This window comes from Homo sapiens, chromosome 2 (genome assembly GCF_000001405.40).
Source record: "Homo sapiens chromosome 2, GRCh38.p14 Primary Assembly".
Lineage (NCBI taxonomy): Eukaryota > Metazoa > Chordata > Mammalia > Primates > Hominidae > Homo > Homo sapiens.
The window spans coordinates 145616803-145639983 of NC_000002.12; the positions used below are offsets into that span (position 1 = coordinate 145616803).

The window sequence follows — 23181 nt, forward strand, 5'->3', positions numbered from 1 at the left end:
GAGAAGGCAGTAAAGTATTAAAAGTAATGGCAAAAACCGCAGTTACTTTTGCACCAACCTAATAGTAGAGCTAGGATCTATAGCACAAGCAATGGGAATACTCTGGTAGGGGAAGCAAGAAAAAATTAAGTGTAAATGAGGGTAACTCTTAAAGTTGCAGTGTTAGAAAGTTTAGAAATAGTCTATTACATCTGATAACTTTCAATTTTTCTCTGAAGTGGTAAAAACATTTGTTGGTGAGATGGAGAGCAGTTTGGTCAGAGATGGCACCGGGGTTTTTCTTTATAGGTTTTAATGGATTGTAAAATGACAAAACATAATGTTTGGCATAAGAATTACTAAGCTGATGAGCCATGTGCTATTTACCCATTCCAGAACATTTTCCAGCTTTCTCTGCAATGCTCTGAGCCTCAGGAGGTTGATGTCTATGGACTGCCTTATGTAGGCTCCCATAACCTTGATTTGAGTTTCCCAAATGAAGGCACCATAAGAGAAAAAAAGAAAGAAAGAAAGAAAGAAAGAAAGAAAGAAAGAAAGAAAGAAAGAAAGAAAGGAGGGAGGGAGGGAAGGAGAGACAGTGAGAGAAGAAAGAAAGAAAGAAAGAAAGAAAGAAAGAAAGAAAGAAAGAAAGAAAGAAAGAAAGAAAGGAGGGAGGGAGGGAAGGAGAGAGAGAAAGAGAGAGAAGAAAGAAAGAAAGAAAGAAAGAAAGAAAGAAAAGAAAAGAAAGAAAGAAACAAAGAAAAAAGAAAGAAAGAGAAAGAAAAGAAAAGTATCCCCAACCCCACCTCTGCTTCTTCCCTGCTTTGCCTTGATTCTATCAGTGATTGTGTTCCAGTTACCTCTTCTGTTAGATGGCCCTTCACCCACGGCCCCAAGCTCTCTATAAACTCTAGCAAGAAGTTTCATTCTTTTTTCCTTTTCACATCTAGGAGGCACAGTAGCTTCTCATTACTGTTATTCCCAAGATGCTTTCCTTCCATCATTGGCTTTTTTAACCCTACCCACACCTCTGTTAGTAAATCCATTATTAAATGATCCTTAGTTAAATTTCTGGCGCACCATCAATTTCCTGCTAGGGCCCTGACTGGCACTGCATTGGAGGCCATTGTAAACGTGTTTTTATCTTGAGTTAGATGTGAAGACTTGAGAATATTTTGAGCTCTGCGACTAATTATATGTGTGACTTTGAACAAGTCATATAGCTCTCTCTGTTTCAATGTATTCATCTGTAAATAAGATAATTGCACACTTGAATCATTTCAAAGGTCCTCAGTATTTTGAAAAGTATTCAGTGTGTTAGTCATTTTTACATTGGTTATTTCAGTTCTTTATTATCTGGGTGAGTCAAGGATGTTTTCTTTTCTTACATCACAGAATACTTTTATGCCAAGCAATTCTTAAAAATTCATTCCCTGTAGATTATTTTTTACTCTCTTTTAAATGCACTTCTCTCTCTCTCTCTCTCTATGTATATATATATAGATAGATAGATATAGATATACACATGTATACATATAGATATAGATATATACATATATAGATGGATAGATATCATTGTAGGTAAACTTCCTTTGTTTCAATGATTTTAATTTTTATATTTTAGAACTGGATATTTGCTACCATTTTTTAAAGAAAACATTTCAGTTGTATAGAGGTACCAAGATTTTTCTCTAGCACGGTAGATTAGATATTGCATGAGCAACAATCTCAGACTTTAAAATGATCATATTTACTTACCTACTTTTAATACATAAAATATTTACTACAAAACAAAAAGACAAAGAAGAGATTCTGAATATGCTCTCACAAATCTATTTTGTTTTATGTGTATTAAACATTTGTAAAGTATTCATTGTTTACCAGCTAGTCATTTTTCAGCAATTGGAAATAAGTGTTTAATTTTAAATGTCTTTTTTCTACAATTTTGTTTGGTAAAAAACAGCCAGTTGGATACTGTCATTTATTACTCTATATGTTCACTCTTTACTTGGCTTGAGAAATTGTGAGTACATAAAGTAAAGCAACTTTTCGAAGAAAATGTATTATTCCTCCAAACCTTAACTTAGTATTAGCATAACTTACTATATTACAAGTTACTTTTTACTTTTGAATTTTTAGTCTTTGATATTTCTGTGATTGATCTAGAAAGCAAAAGTCCTTAAAAATCATACTCAATCCACTGCCATTCCCTGCCTTCTTAACATTTTAATATATGTTTATTTCAACATCAATAGTATCATTGCAAAGAAAGAAAAAATAATCCACAGCAGATCACATTATGCCTAGAATATGTTAATGGCAGGGGAATGGAAGAATAGCAGCCACTATTTTCCTATAATGGTAGGAAGGTTTTAGGGGCTAATTCAAAAAAATTTTAATGTGGATGAATCATGGCATTTCTATCACTAATATGTTGAGCCTCTTATTGCCTCATTGTTGAATCTTGAACTATTTCTCTAATCTAGAACTTAATGGCCCACAAACATTAAGATCATGAGAATTTTACACATACCTTGTATCATCATCAATATAAATGTAGATCATTCCACAAGGGCAGGGGCCATCTACTGTAAGATGTTCACTACATAAACTAATCTCAGTAGTGCTTATTTTCTTATCTTTTGTCCTGTAAGATTGTATGTACTTTGAAGGCAGAGATAATTTCATACTGACTGTTGAATACTTAACAAAATCATTTCACCTATTATTGAAATCAATAATTATGAAGATATTTCTCCCTTCAAAGAATAAGAAAATAAGGTCCAAGAAATCAGATAACCTTTCTAAGTCTCACAAGTAATTAGTAGCATAGCAGACTCTAGGTCTCCTGACTTACAGACTGATTTATTCCTTGGCTCTCTTTTTACTTTCCTGAAACTTCTCTATGAACTTCCTACATCCTTTCTCTTGCCTTGAATCCACTTCAATTAATAACTAATGAATATATATATGTGTGTGTATATATAAAATATAATTCTAATAACTGATGAATATATGTATATACACACATACATATGCAATAAACATATGTGTATATATTTATTATATATATGTATATACACATATAATGTATGTATATACACATATAATATATGTATATACATATATAATATATGTATGAATATATATAATGTATGTATATTCATATGTATATGTATATACTTATAATGAATATATGTGTATACACACATATATATATTTATTATTTATTAGGTAGAATGTAGGAAGTTTATAGACAAGTTCCAAGAAAGTGACAGAGGCAAGGAATAAATCAGTCTATAAGTCAGGAGACCTGGAGTCAGCTATGCAACTAATACATACATATATATATACATACATACACACATAAACACACACACACGTACTTTTTAACTTCAGTAGCAATTTCTAGAAATCTCAACGAAAAATTTTGCCAAAAGTTTTTTCCACTTCTACTACCATTGTCAGGAGAAAACAGTCACAGGCCTTTATGTTCTTGTTCAATCCTTGTCTGAAGGAAATATTGGACTTGTAATGCTGCACATATGTTATGTAAATTATCGTAGCACTTTGTATTGCTTTGACCTTTATAACACCCTATAATTTGATTGGCTGACTAGTCAAGTTGATAGTGTTTACAGTCTTGCCCTTACTTGGATGGACATGATAAGATATTCCAATCTAGCCAATCAAAAAATAGAATATCAAAAAGGTCAGAGTAGTATAATGTTTTTTTAAACTACAGTCTTCTCTTTCCTGGTCAAATATATGCATTCTCATAAGAAAATAGAGAAGTCATGTGAAACGCAACATATCTGAGAATAAAAAATGTAATGAATATTTTATTTGATTACATTGATGTCAACTTTCCTGTTTTTAAAATTGATTGTCCTAGGAGAACTGCTTAGATTTTTACCAAGGCTGTGTTGTCACAGATTGTGTTTTACTTTTCTTTGAATCTCTAGAACCTATAGTAATATCATAATACAGTGCTTAGTATATATTGATTAAATAAATAAATTTGAATATCAAAACTGTCTCACTCTCTTCCCCTTTCCTGTATAAGGTAACACATAAGCAGAAGTTTACCTTCTTCTGGGTGTCCTTGGTAGCCTTATCTCTTTCTTTCTGAAGTTCCTCAAGGCTCAATGCCAGGCCCTCTTCTCACCATATTGTTTTTCCTGGGGAATTTTATTGAACATAGTTCAATTATCATTCATAAGCTGATGACTTTCAAATGTGCATTTCTATTACTCTCACCTGAGTTCTTGATTCTTATATCTTATTGCCTATTTTAAATTTTCAATTGAGTCCCAGAAGGAACTCAATTTTATTATGTACAAAAACAAACTCAAACTTGTTTTCCTCCAAGTGTCCTTATCTCAGTCAATGGCACCATCATCTAGGGGTTATCCTTGACACTGTCCTTACTCCTGCACAACATATTACTAAGAACAGTAGCTTTTACCTCTTTAATATCTTCTTAATGTATTTACCTTTATTTTTCATCACTGGGACTTTCCTAGTCAAAGGTGCCATCATCTCTTACCTTGGCCATTAGGTACTCACCTGTTGTTCTGCCTGCCATCACTTTCATAGAGAATCCAGAGTTGCAATTTAAAAATAAATTATTGACAATGCCATTACCTCTCCCATTTTCTTCCTCTTTAATATTCCATTTTTCTTAGTTTACAGATAAAATCTCTTATATTGTCTATAGGACTAATATCTGTGACACCTGAAGACACACTCTCTCTCCCCCTCTATGCTGCAACTACGCATTCTGGTTCTTATAATGTTCTCTCTTGCTACAGGGGCTTTTGCTTCTGTATCTTAGTCTGGCTAAAGTCTTTTTTTCTAGTTATGAATGGAACTAAGAACAGATATTTTTGTCCACTAAATAAGTGGATATTTAACACCTTTGAAAAGACAGGAAAACAATGGGCAGACGTGTTCCTGGAGAATATAGACTCATCAACCGGGAAGAAAGCAAAAACAAGGATAATATGTTTCCCAGTCTTCTCTGAATCCACTGGGAAATATCAGAGAAAACCTTTAATCCAAGCAAAGAGTAAAATTATTCCAGGCAGATATGGGACATACTTTTGCAGTTAAATGTATGTTCTATAATAATTATTGTATGATAAATCTGGTCATCAGCAAAGAACAGAAATAAAAGTCAGAATATCAATCCATCTATGTCTGTGCCCTTGGCTTCAGGACAAGGCTGATTTGACTTTCACTCTGCAACTCTCCTTCTTCCTAAGTCAGGTGGATTAGAGAAGAAGTGAGTTTATCTAACTTTTTTGTCTTCCTCAATGTCTGTCAAATATTTAGTATTTGTAATTCCTAGACTTTTAAATTTTTCCATTCTTACACATAATGTTTTACTCATTTATTAATTTATAGTTCATTTGTTTATGCATATGCTTAAAAGAATTTTATTGAGATGTTGTGCTAGAAACAGGGATATACAAGACAAACAATAGCAAAGTTCCTAACTTCACGAAGCTCAGAGTCCAATAGAGAAGAGAGATTTAATAAAACAAGCAGACAAAGAAAGTAAATGTTGTAACTTTTGGCAAAATGCAATTGAGAAAAGTATCTCAGTGTCATGAAGGGATCTAACAAAGGATCCTAGTTGACTAAAGAATGCTTCCTGGAGGAAGTGATATTGGGACTGAGATCTGACTGATGAGTAGGAGTTAGCTAGTATAAACCTGATCATGTATGTCACTCCACTGCCTGAAATACTCCAGAAGCTTCCCCCTTCTTAAAGTGAAATTCAAACTCCTGACCACGGTCTTAAAGGCCTTTTCTGGAAATTCTCCCTTTCAGACTTTCATATACTGTGCTTCCCTTTGTCATTCCATTGTTAGCTTAAATTTTACCTTCACAAATTCCAGTCTAAAGAAACAGAGCTTTGCCCAACTAATTTTAATGTTTTTTTACAAATCTTATTTTTCTCTGAAATTGCATATTTGTAGTTGTGGTTGTTGTTGTTGATCACCTGCCTCTCTCAGTAGAATATAAACTCCGTAAGAGAATAATCCTTCTGTCTTTTGTTCCTCCCTATATCTAAATCACCTCATGCGGCACTGTCACATAGAAGAAGCTTACTAAATACTTCTTCAATTAATGAATACTGTTTAGATTAGGAGAATCCCTAAGTGAATTATAGCACCTTTTCGAATCAGTGTGGCCTTTTGCTTTGGAACTTTGTTAAATTTAATTTTCAAACTTTGGATTTCATCTTAATTTGAATGCGAAACTAAACACACCAAAGTGACTAATTAAATAAAAAGAAAGTATATATTTAGTATAACCAAGACAATATAGGTAATGCATTACTTTTCCTTACTCCTATAGCCTTCTTAACCATGAAAGAATAGCTATAGATATAAGTGAATTGAATTCCATTCACATTTTAAATTTCATTCTCAAAGTACCAAGGGTAAGGTCAAACTTGATTTTCTGGAAATATTTGCCTTTTTTTTTGTCCCTTAGTCAAGCCAGAGTCATCTGGCATCCTTACAAGGACCTTTCCTGCTTCTGTGGGTTATAAACTATGTGTGGGACAGACCAGTTATTATTTACTCAGGCGTTGGTATATTGTTTGATGAAACAGTCAGCAGAATGGTCAAAGGAGAAACAATTTAGGGGTTAAATGAGAAGTAAGTTGTATTTTTTCCCCGCTTTTTTCCTATAGGCTCAATGTAAAAACTGCGGTTTTCTCTGCTTGGGAAAAACATAATAAATTACTAAGTTTCTTGTTTTCAGCAACAGTAGAGGATATGTCTAAAAACCTAGGCAATGTGTTTTAATGAAAAACCACCAGTTTTAATGCGAAATATGAATGAGACAAACAAATCAAATGAAGTTAACCAAACAATATTTACCAACTAATATCGTACAGTTACCTTAACGACAAAGAAATTGGACATTTGGGGATTTGTGGTTAAAACCCAAAACGACCTACCATAATCAAACAAGTTCTGTAAAATTCCACAGTTCATCATAAAATTCATGGAGAGTCTGTTTCATCTACCAGAAAATTTCCTTCTTCACTCTCACATAACTAATTCTCCCAATCTATGAGTAAGATTATGCTTCAGGGAAATGTAATCCTTAATTGCTAGCCTAAGTCATTGGTAGTTTGAGAGGTACTGATTTAGCTGTTGCTAGAAAATTGAATAGCAGAATGTTGGAAGTGGAAGAAAATTAGAGACTATGGGCCCACCCTTTGGTATTAGAGAGGGTGTGTGACGGTTCAACAAAATGTCTTGTAGTTTATTAGCAACTAACTCAGATTCTGCTTGAATTCTCATGTCTTGCCACAGCATCTAGTCAACTTCTCATTAGCTGGATGCTGCTTGGGCCACTACTTGTTACTGCATTGCTGCTCAATAGAATTTCATTTCTATGTGGTTTGTTTAATAACCACACAACATAGAATCATCTAAATGTACCATCAGGTAAAGCTTATTGTAAAGTCATGACAGATTTCAAGAGATAGGGGCTCACATCATCATTATTATTATTATCATTATTATTAGAGTCAGGGTCTCCCTCTGCCACACAGGCTGGAGTGCAGTGACATTATATTGGCTCAATGCCGCCTCGACCTCCCAGGCCCAAACTATTAGGAGCTCATATTAAATAATCATTGGAACACCTTTCAGCTCTCTCTAATAAGAAGCTGGATGATATGAGAACTATGTTAAGATCGTATGTAATTTTTTAAAATCACAAAAGTGAATGGGCTTTGGAAAATAAATAAAATAGTAAAGTCTCTCTACTCCTGAAGATTTTAAGTACTGTGCTTATACTCTTGCTAGAAAACCATGAAAACTTTCTCCATTATCATCATCTATTCTGATCAGCCCGGTAGTCAACATTGTCAATGGTGTGCACTATAATTGAAGGGGAAAAAAAGAAATTATTTCTGACTTATCTCATTTCAAATGCACGCTTGCATGATGATGTATTACACAAAGCCATTATCACAATTAAGTTAAAGCAAAGCTTGTGACCACCTAAAATGTTTGATTTTTCTCTTAACAAAAATAATAAAGAGATTTAGTCCAAAATAAGGAAATCAACTGTATAAAAAGAGATAAAGCATGATTTTACAGGAAGAAGGATTTCAATGTAGAAAATTCCTTTGTCAATATATTTTAAAAATTCTACTTTGGACCCACTATCACATATTCAATATTTTAGCAAGAAGGGAATTTCCTCCCTCCCCTCCACTGTGTATATTTCCTCTCTCCCCTCCTCTTCTGTATATTTGGTATACAGATACCAGATCCTTGCTTTATAACCCATGGAAACCTACCCAAAGATCAGAGGCATATGAGATTAAAATCTGGGGCATAATTTTCTAAACAGTATGTGTTGGGTCTTTTTGGAAATTTATTGGTCAAAACATTTTTTGTAAAATGGAAAGAAGATTTTAGTAGAGGAGAAACATTTCTATCAAGAGAACCTAAACAGTAGTTTCCTCAGATTTTCATGCCACTCCCCCAACACGTGATTCTTCTCTAAATCCCTGGCTGAGCAAGGAACCATTTTAATTAGACTCTGAGGCAAGCAACATTGTGTCCATGGTAACAGGTATAAAAAGAACTTAAAAAAAAAGAAAAAAATAAGAAAAAAATGTGATAACTGAAAATGTGTTTAAATCATGATAAAAGGATTTAAACAGATGTTATTTTTTTCAAAGTGTTATTTTAAAAAAGAATTTTAAAGGGCTCTTGATATGAGAAAAAATCATTTTTGGATGTATCTTTAGGGAAGGTTTCTCACTCCTAAATTCTGTAGTTCATGATTGCTATGGGTGAGTTGGATGCCTGTTAAGTGAAAGGGGCGCCCAAGGGGAGAAATCAGAAAGTAAAACCAAGGTACCTTCAGGTAGATGCTTCAGATCAGGTGAGCTAAAGTCTCTGCAGTGTTGTTTAGTAGGCTGCATGTGTTACGGTCCTTTTTTATTAAAGTTTGTGTTCAGAAAAGAGAAAGTACAGGACTTGAGTTTTGGAGACTGGTAGGGGTGTGGATAAACCTGGATATATTGCTTAGAAAATGACAAAAAATGAAGAAGCATAGAGCAGTGTATCCTTCAGTGGTAGATGCACTTGCTTCCACAGCTTTAGACAAGCCTGAACTTATGTGAAATAATTTTCTTACACTATGAATTTGACCACCTCTTTATTATGTGCATTCTCTCTCTCTATATATATATATAGATATATAATTCATTTTATATATGATGTATATAATTCATTCACTTTAGATATATATAATATATTGCATATATTATTTATGTATATATATATAGAGAGAGAGAGAGTGAGACAGAGACAGAGAGAGGGAGACAGAGAGAGGCAGTCATAGTCAAGAGGTTATCCCTAGCAACCCACATTTTCAGAATCAGTAGAAAGTCATTATGAACAAGGCCAAGGTAAGAAGAGGGGCTTGTCCTCATGTTGATTTTTTGTTTTTCTGCCAATTACTTTCTCCAGGAATAGTGATTCTGCCACTTTGTTTGAAATATACAAATGACTCCCTGAAGTTAATTGTCCCTCAGAAAGCCCAGGCAAATTCCATGGAACTAAGTGAAGGGTAAGTTATAAGAGGAAACCCAGAGAGAGTAGTAGGAAAGGAGACTTTGGGCCTGGCAGAAGGATGGCTTATTTTGGCTGGATTCCTTCTGAAGCTTAACTACCCACTGATTGAAAGCAAATTGGATGTTAAGGAAGGCTGGAGTGCCCATGTGAAGGAAAACAAACAAGCAGTGACCCTAAGTTGGTCTTGGAGGAAGTCAAATCTCTTGTTGCTTTGCCTCAAATGTTGAAAGAACTTAAATACAGCTTTGTGTACAACATAATTTTCAGTTATTTGGATTTTTGTAAATAAACTGGTTATCTGAGAAAATACCAGCCAGTAGAGGTGAACTCTGAAGAGTAGGAGAGAATGTGGGAAAATAAATTAAAGTATTTTATTTTAAATTTGTTCTTAGATTTGATATTTAAATTAATAGGCTTTCTAAGAGTAGTAAGTCTAGATTTATCATATAAGATAAAGAGTATAACAGCATAGCACTGATTATAAATCATTTTTTATTGAACGGGGAATTACATTTCATACATCATTCACAAATTGATATAGTAATTACAAAAATATTCCTGATTCTACATACACATACAAACGAACTCACGCACGTGAAGACATACTCATATAAACATATACACATAGATATTCACACTTACATGCAAACAGGAAAAAATCAGCTGTACATGGAATCTCATATTATAGATGGATTTCACTTCTGCTACTCTATTACAATGTGAGTATAATACCTACTTACAATTAAATTCTACACTCTGAAGTTTCATTTTACACTCTCTCAATTTGCCTAAGTGCAAAATTGTATGTGTTTGTGAAGACATTTGTAATAAAAGGAGAATCTTTTCCCAAAGTTTTTATTTTTGGATATCATTTCTATGATATTAATAGGTGTCCCATAAGGAAAAGGTCTCCATAGCTACATGTGTTTATAGAAATTATGGTTTAAACTCATCTTTTTCATGAAAAACTTCAAGATTTTTAACTTATTTATTATGAATCTCTCAATGAGAGTTATTCTATATTGGCCAAACAAATTTGTTCATGGAAAGTTATTTTCGCAGCATCTTCTAAGAAAAATAAAACATAAGATGAGATACATTGACAAATAGAAGGTCACTGTGGTTCAAACAGTTATTGTTCAAAGTCTACATCCTTTTAAAATGAATGCTAGTTGCATATCTACTAGGCCAAACACTGTACAACAGCTTGTTTTGTCCTTGGGATAACCCCATGAGATACATGTGAATATCTGCCTTTAATGAACAAACAAGCTAAGACCCAAGAAGGCTAAATATTTTTTCTCAAGTCCATGCGGCTAACAAAGATGAAGCTAAATCTTGAAATAATGTGTTCTGTAGACTATGTTCTACCAGAAATGATAAGCAGCCTACTGACTTATTTTTCAAATCAGCATCCATGCATGCGCTATGCAAGTAAGAGTACAGTTTTGAGAAAGGAGAGTATTTCTCTTTACGTCATGATTTTAGAGGTGCCAGGAAACCTGCCCCCCTCCTCAAAATGCCTTCTCAAACCATCTACATAATGCAAAACTTCTGAGTAGAAATGCTTCTTTTAAAAGATTTATTTTCTCCTCTGAAAAATGCAAATATTCTTGCAAATTCTTTAACACTGTCTCAATACTTTAAAGAAGTTCCCAAATCTGGCTGAGCAGCAGCAATTACTTAGAAAAAACTTTAAAAATATATAGACACCTTACAAAACCCTAGATCTTTTCAAACATAGTAGCTAAAGCTGGAGTTGAGAAATCTTTATTAATATTTTGAAGTTCCCAGGTAATTTTAGTAATTATTACTTAAATCTCTATCAATCTTTTCCCTTCTCAGTGTGAATGGACTAATTAGAGAGACATTAAAACAGTACAGAACTGTAAATTTGGAGTCACAGGATTTGAATTGAAATCTCAGTTTCACCACTTAATCTCTATAAGAGGCTGGACAAAATAAATCGTCCCTTTTTGACTTAAATGTATTCATTTTATAATGGGGATACTAATATTTCTCAAATATTGTTATTATTATTAAAATATATAATGACGGCAAAGAGCTTTTTGTATGCTATATACTTGTTGTTTCATCTTCTTTCTTAAGAGTACAGTTTTATTCCTGGTGCCACATGGAAGAATTAAGACACTGTTTCAGCATTGAAAAAGACAGGCTGATACAGAAAAGAAAAGGACACAGCCAGGAATAGGGGCCTCCCGCGTTTCTCCTTGGCCTTTCCATATTTGTGCTTCTTCCCTGGGTCTTTTTCATCAGAATGAAACTGAAGGACACTTTGGCCCCAGAGGTGTCGTCATGACTGAGTCTGGATCAGATTCGGCTTACTTGAGCCTTTCTTGTTGGCAGCTATTGTGGCTTTAAATAAAGTCGCGTCTATGAAAAAGCAGACCAGACTAGGCTCAAAGGAGAATCCCCATTCTTGATGACACTGTTATCTGAGTATACCACTTCTAAAATATGATACTGACCAAAAAGGGGATTCATATGATCTATTTCCAGAGTTTAGGGTGCAGTCTTAAGAAACAGTTTCTTGCAGCAGAGTGAGACCACATCTTAACAAAAAAAAAAAAAAAAAAAAAAATTAGCTAGGCATGGTGGCATGTGCCTGTGGTCCCTGCTACTTGGGAGGCTGAGGTGACAGGATTGCTTGAGCCTGGGAAAGAAATAATTTTGTTTTGCTTTGAGGCAGAGTTTTGCTCTGTCACCCAGGCTGTAGTGCAGTGGTATGATCTCGGCTGACTGCAACCCCTACCTCCCGAGTTCAAGCAGTTCTCCTGCCTTAGCCACTCAAATAGCTGGAATCACAGACAAGCCACCATGCCTGGCTAATTTTTGTCTTTTTAGTAGAGATGGGGTTTCATCATGTTGGCCAGGCTGGTCTTGAACAACTGACTTCAGGTCATCTGCCCACCACAATCTCCCAAAGTGCTGGGAGAGAGCTACCGTGCCCAGCCAGAAATAGTTTCTTAAAGCAAATTCTTGTTAATACTAACAAAGTTTCAAAGTTGAATTACTAAAAAATAATCTTTGAATATATAAATAGAGCTTTTGTGTTTTTATTCATTGACTTTTGTTTTTTTTCACTAAATGAGTGAAATGTAATACAGGGCCTTAAATCTGTGTTATTGTTTTTGTTTTGATTGGTTGATTCTCTGGACACCTTGACTTGACACAACATAGAAACCCCAAATATTTACATCATAATAAGTGGCTAGCTTATGGAGATTCACAATCACAGGTCTATTTTTGAACATATTTTTCTTCTTGCATATTAAATATTTTCCAATTTTCAAGTACAAAATCTCTTTTTTATATTAATAGTATAAGATAGCATTAAAGTGCTATTAAAGGGAAACAATGCGTTTCTACATAAAATGGAAGGGTCTAAATTATTGTCATATTTTTAAACCAAAATTAATTGTGTTATGCTTCTCCAATGGCTGAAATGCTTTTTAAAATGTGTCTAGGCATACTTATTGATATCACAACTTTGGAATTGTAAGGACACAATAAGTGAATAATTTTCATAAGATTCTTTTTTATTTGACTTATTTTTATGAATCTCCTACTGCTACAAGCTACACAATATACATGTGTTGCAAGAAAATAAAAGAATCTTCATCAAGTGAATAATGTTGCCAGTTGAAGAAAGCTGTGTAGCCATGCTATTACAAGGTACTACAGCTCCAAATAGTTGTCAGCCAGCTCTCATTTTGCTCATTATCCAATTCTTCCCTGTTACCAGAAAACCGTGCCACCTAGAAGTTAGTTGATCTATATGAAATTGCAAAGGTTTAACCATTTTTTATCTGGAAAGGAATGAGCATTTCTTACAGTTCCATTAAACATTGAATCAGTTACATGTCAGAAGACAGTCAAATTAGTATTACCAAGTCTAGCAAAAAGCACATTCTTCCTCAAATAAAAACAAAAAGAAAAAAATTCCAAGGCACAGACAAATTCAAATAGATAGGTAAGCTTATTCATAGTTCAAACAATTTTCTCAATTCAATAAATGATAGACCATTTTTTGTTTCATAGGGTGTTAACAAGAATGAGCTTTACTATAATAACCGCCTCCAATTTGCAATTTATTATATAAACTTCTTCCAATTGCACCATTAAAATAGTGCAAGAACAATTTCTTATGACACGAGAAGTCTTCTGGACACTGATTACGGTACATAGTGCTAATGCTTACAATATAGCTCTTATAGGATTCTGCAGTTTGTTCATTCATCAGAAATAGATAAGAAAAAAGGCTTGAATCAATCTCACACAAGCTGGTATGAAAATAGACATGTTTTAATGATCAGTAATATCAATATAATTCTTTCATCGTATCATTTGTTATCAAAACATTTTGAGATATGGAATATTGATAAAATTCTAAGAGAATATCTCCAAGACTGGAAATTTCAAAATTAAAAGCAATACTTAGAGAAAATTGCCACAATCTCATAGTGGAAATGGATTATTACAATATTTAAAAAAACAGCCAGAGTAAATTCAATATGTAGGTAAAATGTATTACAACTATGCATATTATAATTGTTCACTAAGGCAGCCCATTATACCTGATAGAAATTTTAAAATAGGAATTTGGGAAAGGTTAGTCAATGAGATTCTGGACCCAAGCCCAGATCTCTTTATTCTCCCTTTAAAGTTTCCTCTAACTAATTAAACTGCTTCACTGTGTCCTAAAACAGAATATTTATATCATATATTACTTTTGTGTACCATAGATTTTATTCCATAGATTAAGGCCTGTTACCTGTCAAGAATCTGAATTAGAATAAAATAATATTGCCATTTTTCATTGTCTCAGTCCCCACTTCCTTTCTTCTTTTTGTTCTCCGCTATATTTTTAAAGCTGGTGCTGTCTGTGACATGCACTATTACTATTGGCATTTTATTGTGGCACAGGGTGGAGATGAGAGAGATCTCCCTAAAGTAAGCTTTATGTTTCTTAATGTATCCGTCAGTATAAACATTGTTTTAATTAGTAAATTCACTGGCAATAAGCCTAAATTAACAATAGTGGCCTGGCCACATAGCCTTAAATAATAGTAGTGCCCTCATCCTCAAAACTAAATAAAAGAAAACAAAAACAACACCTAACAACGAAACAAGGCTTATTCTCAGCTGATGAGACCAAACACCGGTTTGAAGGCCTTAGTGTGTGGTTGCACCTACAAACTCTTCCTATGGCCAGCCTGGGATGAAAAGGGATGCTCTAAGGGTGTGCACTATATATTTACCAAGTGCTGTGTCTGGTTTTGCTGTGTGTTCATCTTTGTCCTTCATATTCTAACTGTAGATGCTGAGTCAGATGATGCTCACCAGGGAATACATTCTTTCAAGTGATGTCTTCAATTACTAAACATGCATCCTCTTGTCTTAGGATTTCTGATTATCTAGTTACCTGAAAATGTATTGTACAGAAGTATTTAAGAAGTGTTCACCATGAAGTGTGCCTAGATATGCCTATTAAGCCTAAATAGCACTTTTTAAACAAATCACAAATTTAGCCATCTATATCCTTGTTCTGTTTTGTTTTAACAAAAAAAAATTTCCACTCTATTTTATTTCTGGATGTTTGGTTTAAGTAAAATATAAGTCCAAACTTTTGCAAATATAGAAAAAAATCATGTTGATTAAGGATGTAAAAAATGCAGTCTCTTCCTAGTTATAATACACCATGGTGGTGGTTTAAAACTAGAAAGTTTCCATTTAATGTAACCCAATGTTGCTTTTCTAAATGTTAGAAATTGTTACCCTTATTATTTTTTGGTTTATCTGAACACCAATCGCAGATAACTTGAGATTTCAAGTCAAAGTTGCTCTTTCACGGTAATTCCATTTAAAGTCTTGTTATATTTCTTGCTCTTATCAAAAAGCTTGTATCTAAACTTAAATGGAAGTCACATATGTAGCTTTGTGAGATCCCTAGTATCCTTTAAATGTTCCATGGGGCTCAGCCAAATGAGTAATTGTCCATCAGCTTATGGTTCATTAGGAACCACAAATCAGTTGAGTGGGAGGTGTTTCATAGGAAACTATTCAAACCTAAGTTTTGCTAGATTTCTGATGAATAGAATAGCCTAGGATAAGAAACTTTCATCTAGGAGCTCCAAGGTAGTTAGGCTGGTGGTAGCTAAGGCCTCTAAAGCTAATTGGGCAGATAAGAAAAAGGGGTAGCAATATGGTCAGGACATAGAAAGGAGACATTCCTCGGTGCTTATTGGCGAGTAGATGGCTGAGCTGGAAGGGTGATCTGTAAATGAAATTCACTAAAGAATTAAACTTCAAGAGGCATTCTCCACAATGAAAAATACAGCAATAAACCTTACAATTGTGATTTTTGTTTCTTTCTAAGGGGAAGACTATTTTCTTGTATGTATCAATTGCAAATCATTTTATTATAAGTGGTGTTTAGCTTCATAAGCAATCTCTTAAAATTGATTTTTACAAAAATATTTTCAATTATTATTTTCAATTAGACTACTATTTTAAGGGGAATAAAACTGTAGCATACTTCTAAATAGATGATTTCCCTGGATCATTTCTCCACCATTTTTTACCCTATGTGCATATGGCAAGAATCATTTAGTAGTGGATTTTCTCCTTAGTCCTATGGAAAGATAAATATATATTCCAAGTTTCAGAAATGCATGAAGAAAACCAGGTACCCGTGTTAAGGTTATTTGATATTAAGAAAAGCTTTGAAGTTACTGAATCTTACTGAAACGAACACAAACCAAAAATAGCTTTATGCAGCATTCCAAGAAAGATTGGAGAGATGCAGAAATAGTCTGCAAAGTTTTCTCAGATTCCAGTGATTTTGATACTTGAAAAGTGAAAGGGAACCTATGCACTAATTCAAATGATAAGCTAGCCTTTTAGAATCTTATACATATACTATATTGTTAATTAAAACATACTTTAATTGAGTAGATTAATTGGATAACTGTAACACAAACCATCTAGGCTTGCTTTATGCATATTAGAAAATTTCGTTAACCCAAAGAAGTATATTGTCCTACATGTCCTTTGGAAGAACTCTAAAAGGCACATCTTACCTGGGGGAGAAAAAAAGGGAGTGGTCTGGGAAATCTGTTAAAACACAGGTTACTTAATGAAAGAAGCTAATTATGATTTTAGAGCTTAAAAGGAAAGGTGTCTCTGAGGGTATAAGAAATGGGACAGAAAATTGCATGTGAAAGAGGAGAGGGGGTCGTGCATGGTGGCTCACGCCTGTCATGCTAACATTTTGGGAGGCTGAGGTGGGCACATCACTTGAAGTTAGAGACCAGGATGGCCAACATGGTGAAACCCTGTCTCTATTAAAAAATACAAAAGAAAAAACAAACAAACAAACAAAATTAGCTGGGTGTGGTGGTGCACGTCCGTAATCCCAGCTACTCAGAAGGCTGAGAAAGGAGAATTGCTTGAACCCAGGAGGCGGAAGTTGAAGTGAGCTGAGATCGCACCACTGCACTTCAGCCTGGGCGACAGAGTGAGAGGGAGACAACGTCTCAATATAAAGAAGCAGGACCAGGATGAAGCAATCAGCATTCCTTCACAGTAGCTAATCTGGGCAGGCATCACCTTGGGAAGGACAGCAAAGACAATCCAAACATTTTATGCTTTTCAGAAGAGACCATAAAGAGAAGGAACATGGCAGTTACAGTATCACATTGACTAGAAAGAAACAGAGTACTACCACAAGAATATAGAAAAAGCAAACAGGTCTTCCTATTCTCTGTTTACCACTCAATACTTCTGTGACCTCTGATCACTAAGAAATGAGTGAGTATTTTCCCCACCAGACGTGTCCGCAATTCTGACTCTATCTGCCTGAAGATAGCATCAGATCTCACAGGCTGAGGACTCAGTCCCAAGACTGCCCTCTAATTCACATGCGAATTGCAAGCCCCAGGTTGTGAACTGTACTTCTCATTAACCAGATATAAATCCAGGTTCCCACACCCTACTCCTTGGGTTTGATTAATTTGCTAGAGCAGCTTATAGAACTCAGAGAAATACTTTACTTACATTTACCCATTTATTATGAAGGATATTATAAAAGATACAGATGAACAGCCAGATGAAAGAGTTATACAGGGCAAGGCATGGAAGAAGGAGCATGGGATCTCCTCTCTTGTGCACCACCCTCCAGGAACCTCTACATGTTTAGCGATCCAGAAGCTGTCTGGACTCAGTCCTTTTGAGTTTTATGTAAGCTTTATTACCTAAGCACAACTGATTAAATCACTGACCCTTAGTGATCAACTCAACCTTCAGCCCATCTCCCCTCCCTGGAGGTTAGAGGGTGGGGCTGAAAGTCCCACACCTCTAAACATGCCTTTGTGTTTCCTGTGATCAGCCCCCATATTGAAACTATTTAGAACCTTCCAGCTACCAGTCATCTCTTAGCTCACAAGGGACACTAATCACCTCAGAGATTCCAAGGCTTTCAGGAGCTGTATGTCAGGAAACCAGGCTAAAGACCAAATACAACTGACCCTTGAACAACACAGGTTTGAACTTCAAGGATCCACTTATATGCACTTTTTTTTTTTTTTTTTTTTTGAGATGGATTCTCACCCTGTTGCCCAGGCTGCAGTGCAGTGGCGGATCTCAGCTCACTGCAACCTCTGTCTCCTGGGTTCAAGTGATTCTCCTGCCTCAGCCTCCCAAGTAGCTGGGATTACAGGCTCCTGCCATCACTCCTGGCTAATTTTTGTATTTTTAGTAGAGACCAGGTTTTATCACGTTGGCCAGGCTGGTCTTGAACTACTGACCTCAGGTGATCCACCTGCCTCGGCCTCCCAACATGCCTCGGCCTCCCAACATGCTGGGATTACAGGTGTGAGCCACTGTGTCCAGCCTATATGCAGATTTTTTCCACCTGTGCCACCCTTGAGACAGCAAGACCAACCCCTTCTCTTCCTCTTCCTTCTCAGCCTAATCAATGTGAAGACAATGATAAAGGCTTTATGATGATTCACCTGGATTTAATGAATATATATTCTCTTTCTTATAAATTTTCTAATAACATTTTCTTTCCTATAGCTTACTTTATTGGAAGACTATAGTATAGAATACATAAAACTTACAAAATATGTGTTAATCAATCAATATGGCTTCCAGTCAACAGAAGGCTATTTGTAGTTATATTTTGGAAGAGTCAAAAGTTACACCTGGATTTTTTTTCCTGCATGGGGGTTGGCCCCCTTAACCCTCACAGTGTTCAAGGATAAACAGTATATATAGTCATGAGCCGCATAACAACGTTTCAGTCAACAGCAGATGACATATATGATGGTGGTCTCATAAGATTATAATGCAGCTAAAAAATTTCTGTCATCTAGTGAAACCATAGCCATTGTAAGGTCATAGTGTGATTACTTTTTTAAAATAAATGAAGTGTAGCCTAAATTTACAGTGTTTATAAAGTGTACAGTAATGTCTCAGGCCTTCACAATCGCTCACCACTCATTCACTGACTCAGTCAGAGCAACTTGAATCCTGCAAGCTCCATTCATGGTAAGTGCCCTATACAGGTATACCATTTTTTAAATCTTTTATATCATATTTTTACTGTATATGTTCTATGTTAACATATGTTTAGGTGAATACTTACCATTGTGTTACAGTTGCCTACATTATTCAGTACATAACATGCTGTACAAGATTATAGCATAAAAGCAACACCCTATGATGTTCACATGGGACAAAATTGCCTACCAATGCCTTTCTCAGAATGTGTCCTCATCATTATGTGACACATGACTATATTTCACAATAGCATAATTATTTTATTTCCTTTTTCCTGAACAATTAATTAATCTTATCTAGCTTCAAGACTGTATACTTAGGCTGAGTGCAGTGGCTCACACCTGTAATCCCAGAGCACTGGGATTACAAAAAATTTATAAATTAGCCAAGCATGGTGGCACACACCTGTGGTTCAAGCTACTTGAGAGGCACAGGTGGGAGGATTACTTAAGCCTGGGTAGCAATGATTACAGTGAGCTGAGATTGCACCACTGCACTCCAGCCTGGGCGACAGGATGAAACCCTGTCTAAACAAACAAACAAACAAACAAACAAAAAACTGAATACCTTGTATACCTTCACTCTGAAGTTTAAAAAAGTATATTATTCAGATATTATTCAGTTAAGTAACTTGGAGTTTTTATTGTTATTTATTTGTACTTAGTAAATTGATTTGATTTTATATGGTATCTTAATGTAATTTTGCATATATAAGATTGCAAATATAATCATTGCATGTATAAGACAGCAGGACTTTTGGTATCTTATTACAAGTCATAAAAGCGTGAATGATTTTTAAACTACCTACTCTCCATATCTGTAATTTTACATATCAATATACTCCTAAAAAAAGAATTATACTACATTAATACAGAGCTTTTCACCAGATGAAAGCTTAATACAAAATTGGGACTACTGTTTATCTTAATTTGAACTATGAAAAAAAAATATTTCATTGACTTACATAGCAGAACTTTGAGTTATTGTTGAAAGTAATTGTTCACCTTGCCATCTTTGGCATCAAAATGCATAGATCTCAAAATTTCTTGGAGTATTCACACATCTAGGGGGAAAAACAAACTACACAGAACAGTTCTTCCACTGTGAAAAATAGCAAAATTCCACACCTACAACAAATTGCAAATTTTCACGTATTTGCTCCAGGCAAACATTTGCAATTTTCACAGCAAATAAGGCTGTTGGCTCCAATACACACTTTTTTTTTTTTTTTTTTTTTGGTCTTCTCCCCTCTTGGAAAAAAGTCACTGTCCCTATTTTCAGAAATACAGAATAACACTTGAAATGAAATTACTGATAATATCATGTTTATTCTAGGTATTTTATTTTTGGTTCTACCCATTCAGATAAAAAATATTACTTTAACTTGACTGTACCTTATTCAGGAATCCATGAGTTTGGATAGAGACCCTGAAAATGAAACTTAACTGTTTTTGTGACCTGGGATACCCAGTTCCACTCTGATCAGAGAGACCACTCCTAAAATGTTGCCTAGTGCTTTCAGGAAATACAGATTTTTTTTTTTTAATTTTCAGTAATCAAATAAAAAGAGAAGTTGGATTTTCCCTAAAAATATATATTTTTTTAAATTTAGTACTATAAAGCAATGGTTCTCAGGCAAGGAACAATGATATTTCCCAAACAGCTATATAACATTATTACAATAAGGACATTAAAAATTGTATATAACCCAGCCATGAGACAGTCTTCACTACAACGCTGTCCGCAGAATTTTCTCCTATGTTAAAACAACAATGACAACAACAATAAAAATAGGAAAGTTGTCTTTGTTATAGAAAGCATGTCATTTTACTAATGTTATTGACTTGTGTTTTCAAATCCATGAATTCTGTTCTATTCTATCCAGTTGATTTACTAAGGAACTGCTTTAAAAAAATTTAGTAAGTTAGGTGTGGTGTGTGGTATGCAGTGATGTGTGTGTGTGTGTGTGTGTGTGTGTGTGTGTGCACGCATGCGTGTGTGTGTGTGTGTGTGTGTATGTGTTGCATGCTGGAGGACTTTCCATTGCACAACCATCTATATTATATTGCTCCTGTTTTCTGGTTTCTGAGGAAAGTCATCTCAAACTATAGTACACATTAGGCTCTGCTCTTCTTTAAAACATAGCCCTGCTTTGACAGGAGAAAAAAGCCCAGTCTCTTCTGCATAGTTTTTAAAGACCAATCACAATTGATCTCTGTCTACATTACTAGGTTACTCTTCTGTATCTTTCTTTCATATCTTTGTGCTACTGTCACCTGAACATTATGCCATCTTTGACCCATTTGGATGTCTTTGCTTATGGAAGACTGGCATTCTCTGCTTACCCACTTCGCCTACTGAAATTTTTATCCACCAAAACTCAGCTAGCATGCCACTTCTTTAGCAAAACTTTCATAATCTTACTATTTGGAGCTTTTTCTTATCTTCAGTACCTTTATGATATTATTTTACTCATTCATTTATAATTATTCACTTATCAAATATTTATTATCTAATATTGCCAAATAGAAACAGATACAAAAGTTTTAGACATAGTTTTTGCCCTTTAAAAGTTCACAGTGAGGGAAATTGTCCCAATCCAATCACAAAGAAAATTAAAAGAACAGAGATTATCTGCTTATCACTCTTATCAGTGCTTTAAAATGGCAAATAGTTACAATATGTTTTGACTAAATTACAAGTGCTTTCTATATGATGAAGAAACATAGTTAATTTGTTCAAAATTTGATTTGTGGAAAAAATGAGAGCAAAAAGAACCCAGAAGATGGGAAGTACTTATATAAATATAGTTTTAAAAAGAGCAATTCCCTGCAGCACAATTGAAGGTACAGGAAATTTACAGAGGGAAATACCCTGCTGGAGTGTTTGGGGAACTTCCCCCTTGACATCAGCTGCACAGTAGCTGTAGTTCCTATCGCAGCCTCCTATTGTTAGTAACTTTGTCAACAGATATATTAAAAAATGCTCAATATTGCTAATCATTAAAGAAATACGAATAAAAAATACAATAAACTTTCATTTCACAATTTGTCAGAATGGCTCTTATAGAAAAGATTAAACATAACAAGTGCTGCAGAGGATGTGAGAAAAAGGGAACCCTAGTACATTGTTGGTGGTAATGTAAATTAGAAAACAGTATGGAAGATCTTTAAAAACCTTAAAAGAGAATTATCATGTGATCCAGCAATTCCAGTTCTGGTGATTTACCCGAAAGACTAGAAACCATTTAATTTATGAGATGTCTGCATGCCTATATTCATTGCAGTTCCATTCATAATAGCTAAGTTATGAAATCAACCTGTGTTCAACAAATAAATGGATAAAGAAAATGCGGTATTTATATATACACAATGAAATACTAGTCAGACTTTACAAAGAATGAAATTTTGTCATATGCAACAACATGGATTGTATTGGTGAGCATTATGCTAAGTGAAATACATCAGGCACAGAAAGACAAACACGCCATGTTCTCACATATATATGGGAATCTAAAACAAATGAATTCATAGAAGCAAAGAGTAGAATAGTGATTACAGAGACTGGAGGGTGGCTGGAATGGGGAGATGATGGTCAAAAGGTGCCAAATCTCAATTAGACGGGAGAAATACGGTTTCTTTTCTTTTTTTCTTTCTTTCTTTCCTTTTTTTTTTTTTAGTTCTATTGCACTGGATAGTGAATATAGTTAAAAATAGACTGTTGTACATTTTGAAATTTCTCAAAATAAATGTTAAATGTACTCACCACAGAAAATGTTAGTATTTGAGATGACAGATATGTAAACTAACTTTATTGAATTATTCTTCATTGTGTTCATTAATTATAACATTAATTTGTACTCCATAATTTTTATAAAATTATAAATTGTCAATTTACAATTTTTAAAAAAAAAGAGCAAAGAAAGGGTTTAACCGAATAAGCGTAAGGTTTTTTGCTAATGCTATTAATCTAGTGCATATCTTAGAGGTAC

The 23181-nt window shown here is 34.5% G+C and overlaps 1 long non-coding RNA gene across 3 annotated transcripts in view; it reads right to left on the reverse strand.

Moving 5' to 3' along the window:
- LOC105373664 (uncharacterized) overlaps positions 1-15051 on the reverse strand; it is a 30933-nt gene extending 15882 nt beyond the window's left edge. For 2 of the 3 annotated variants that reach the window (XR_923416.1, XR_923415.1), the window contains exons 1-2: positions 14888-15045; positions 4069-4160 (exon numbers count right to left, since the gene is read on the reverse strand). This is a non-coding gene — a long non-coding RNA (uncharacterized LOC105373664). Of the gene's footprint in view, positions 1-4068; positions 4161-14887 lie in introns of all 3 variants that reach the window. The other variant, XR_923414.2, reaches the window with a different exon arrangement.
- Positions 15052-23181: the final 8130 nt, after the last annotated feature.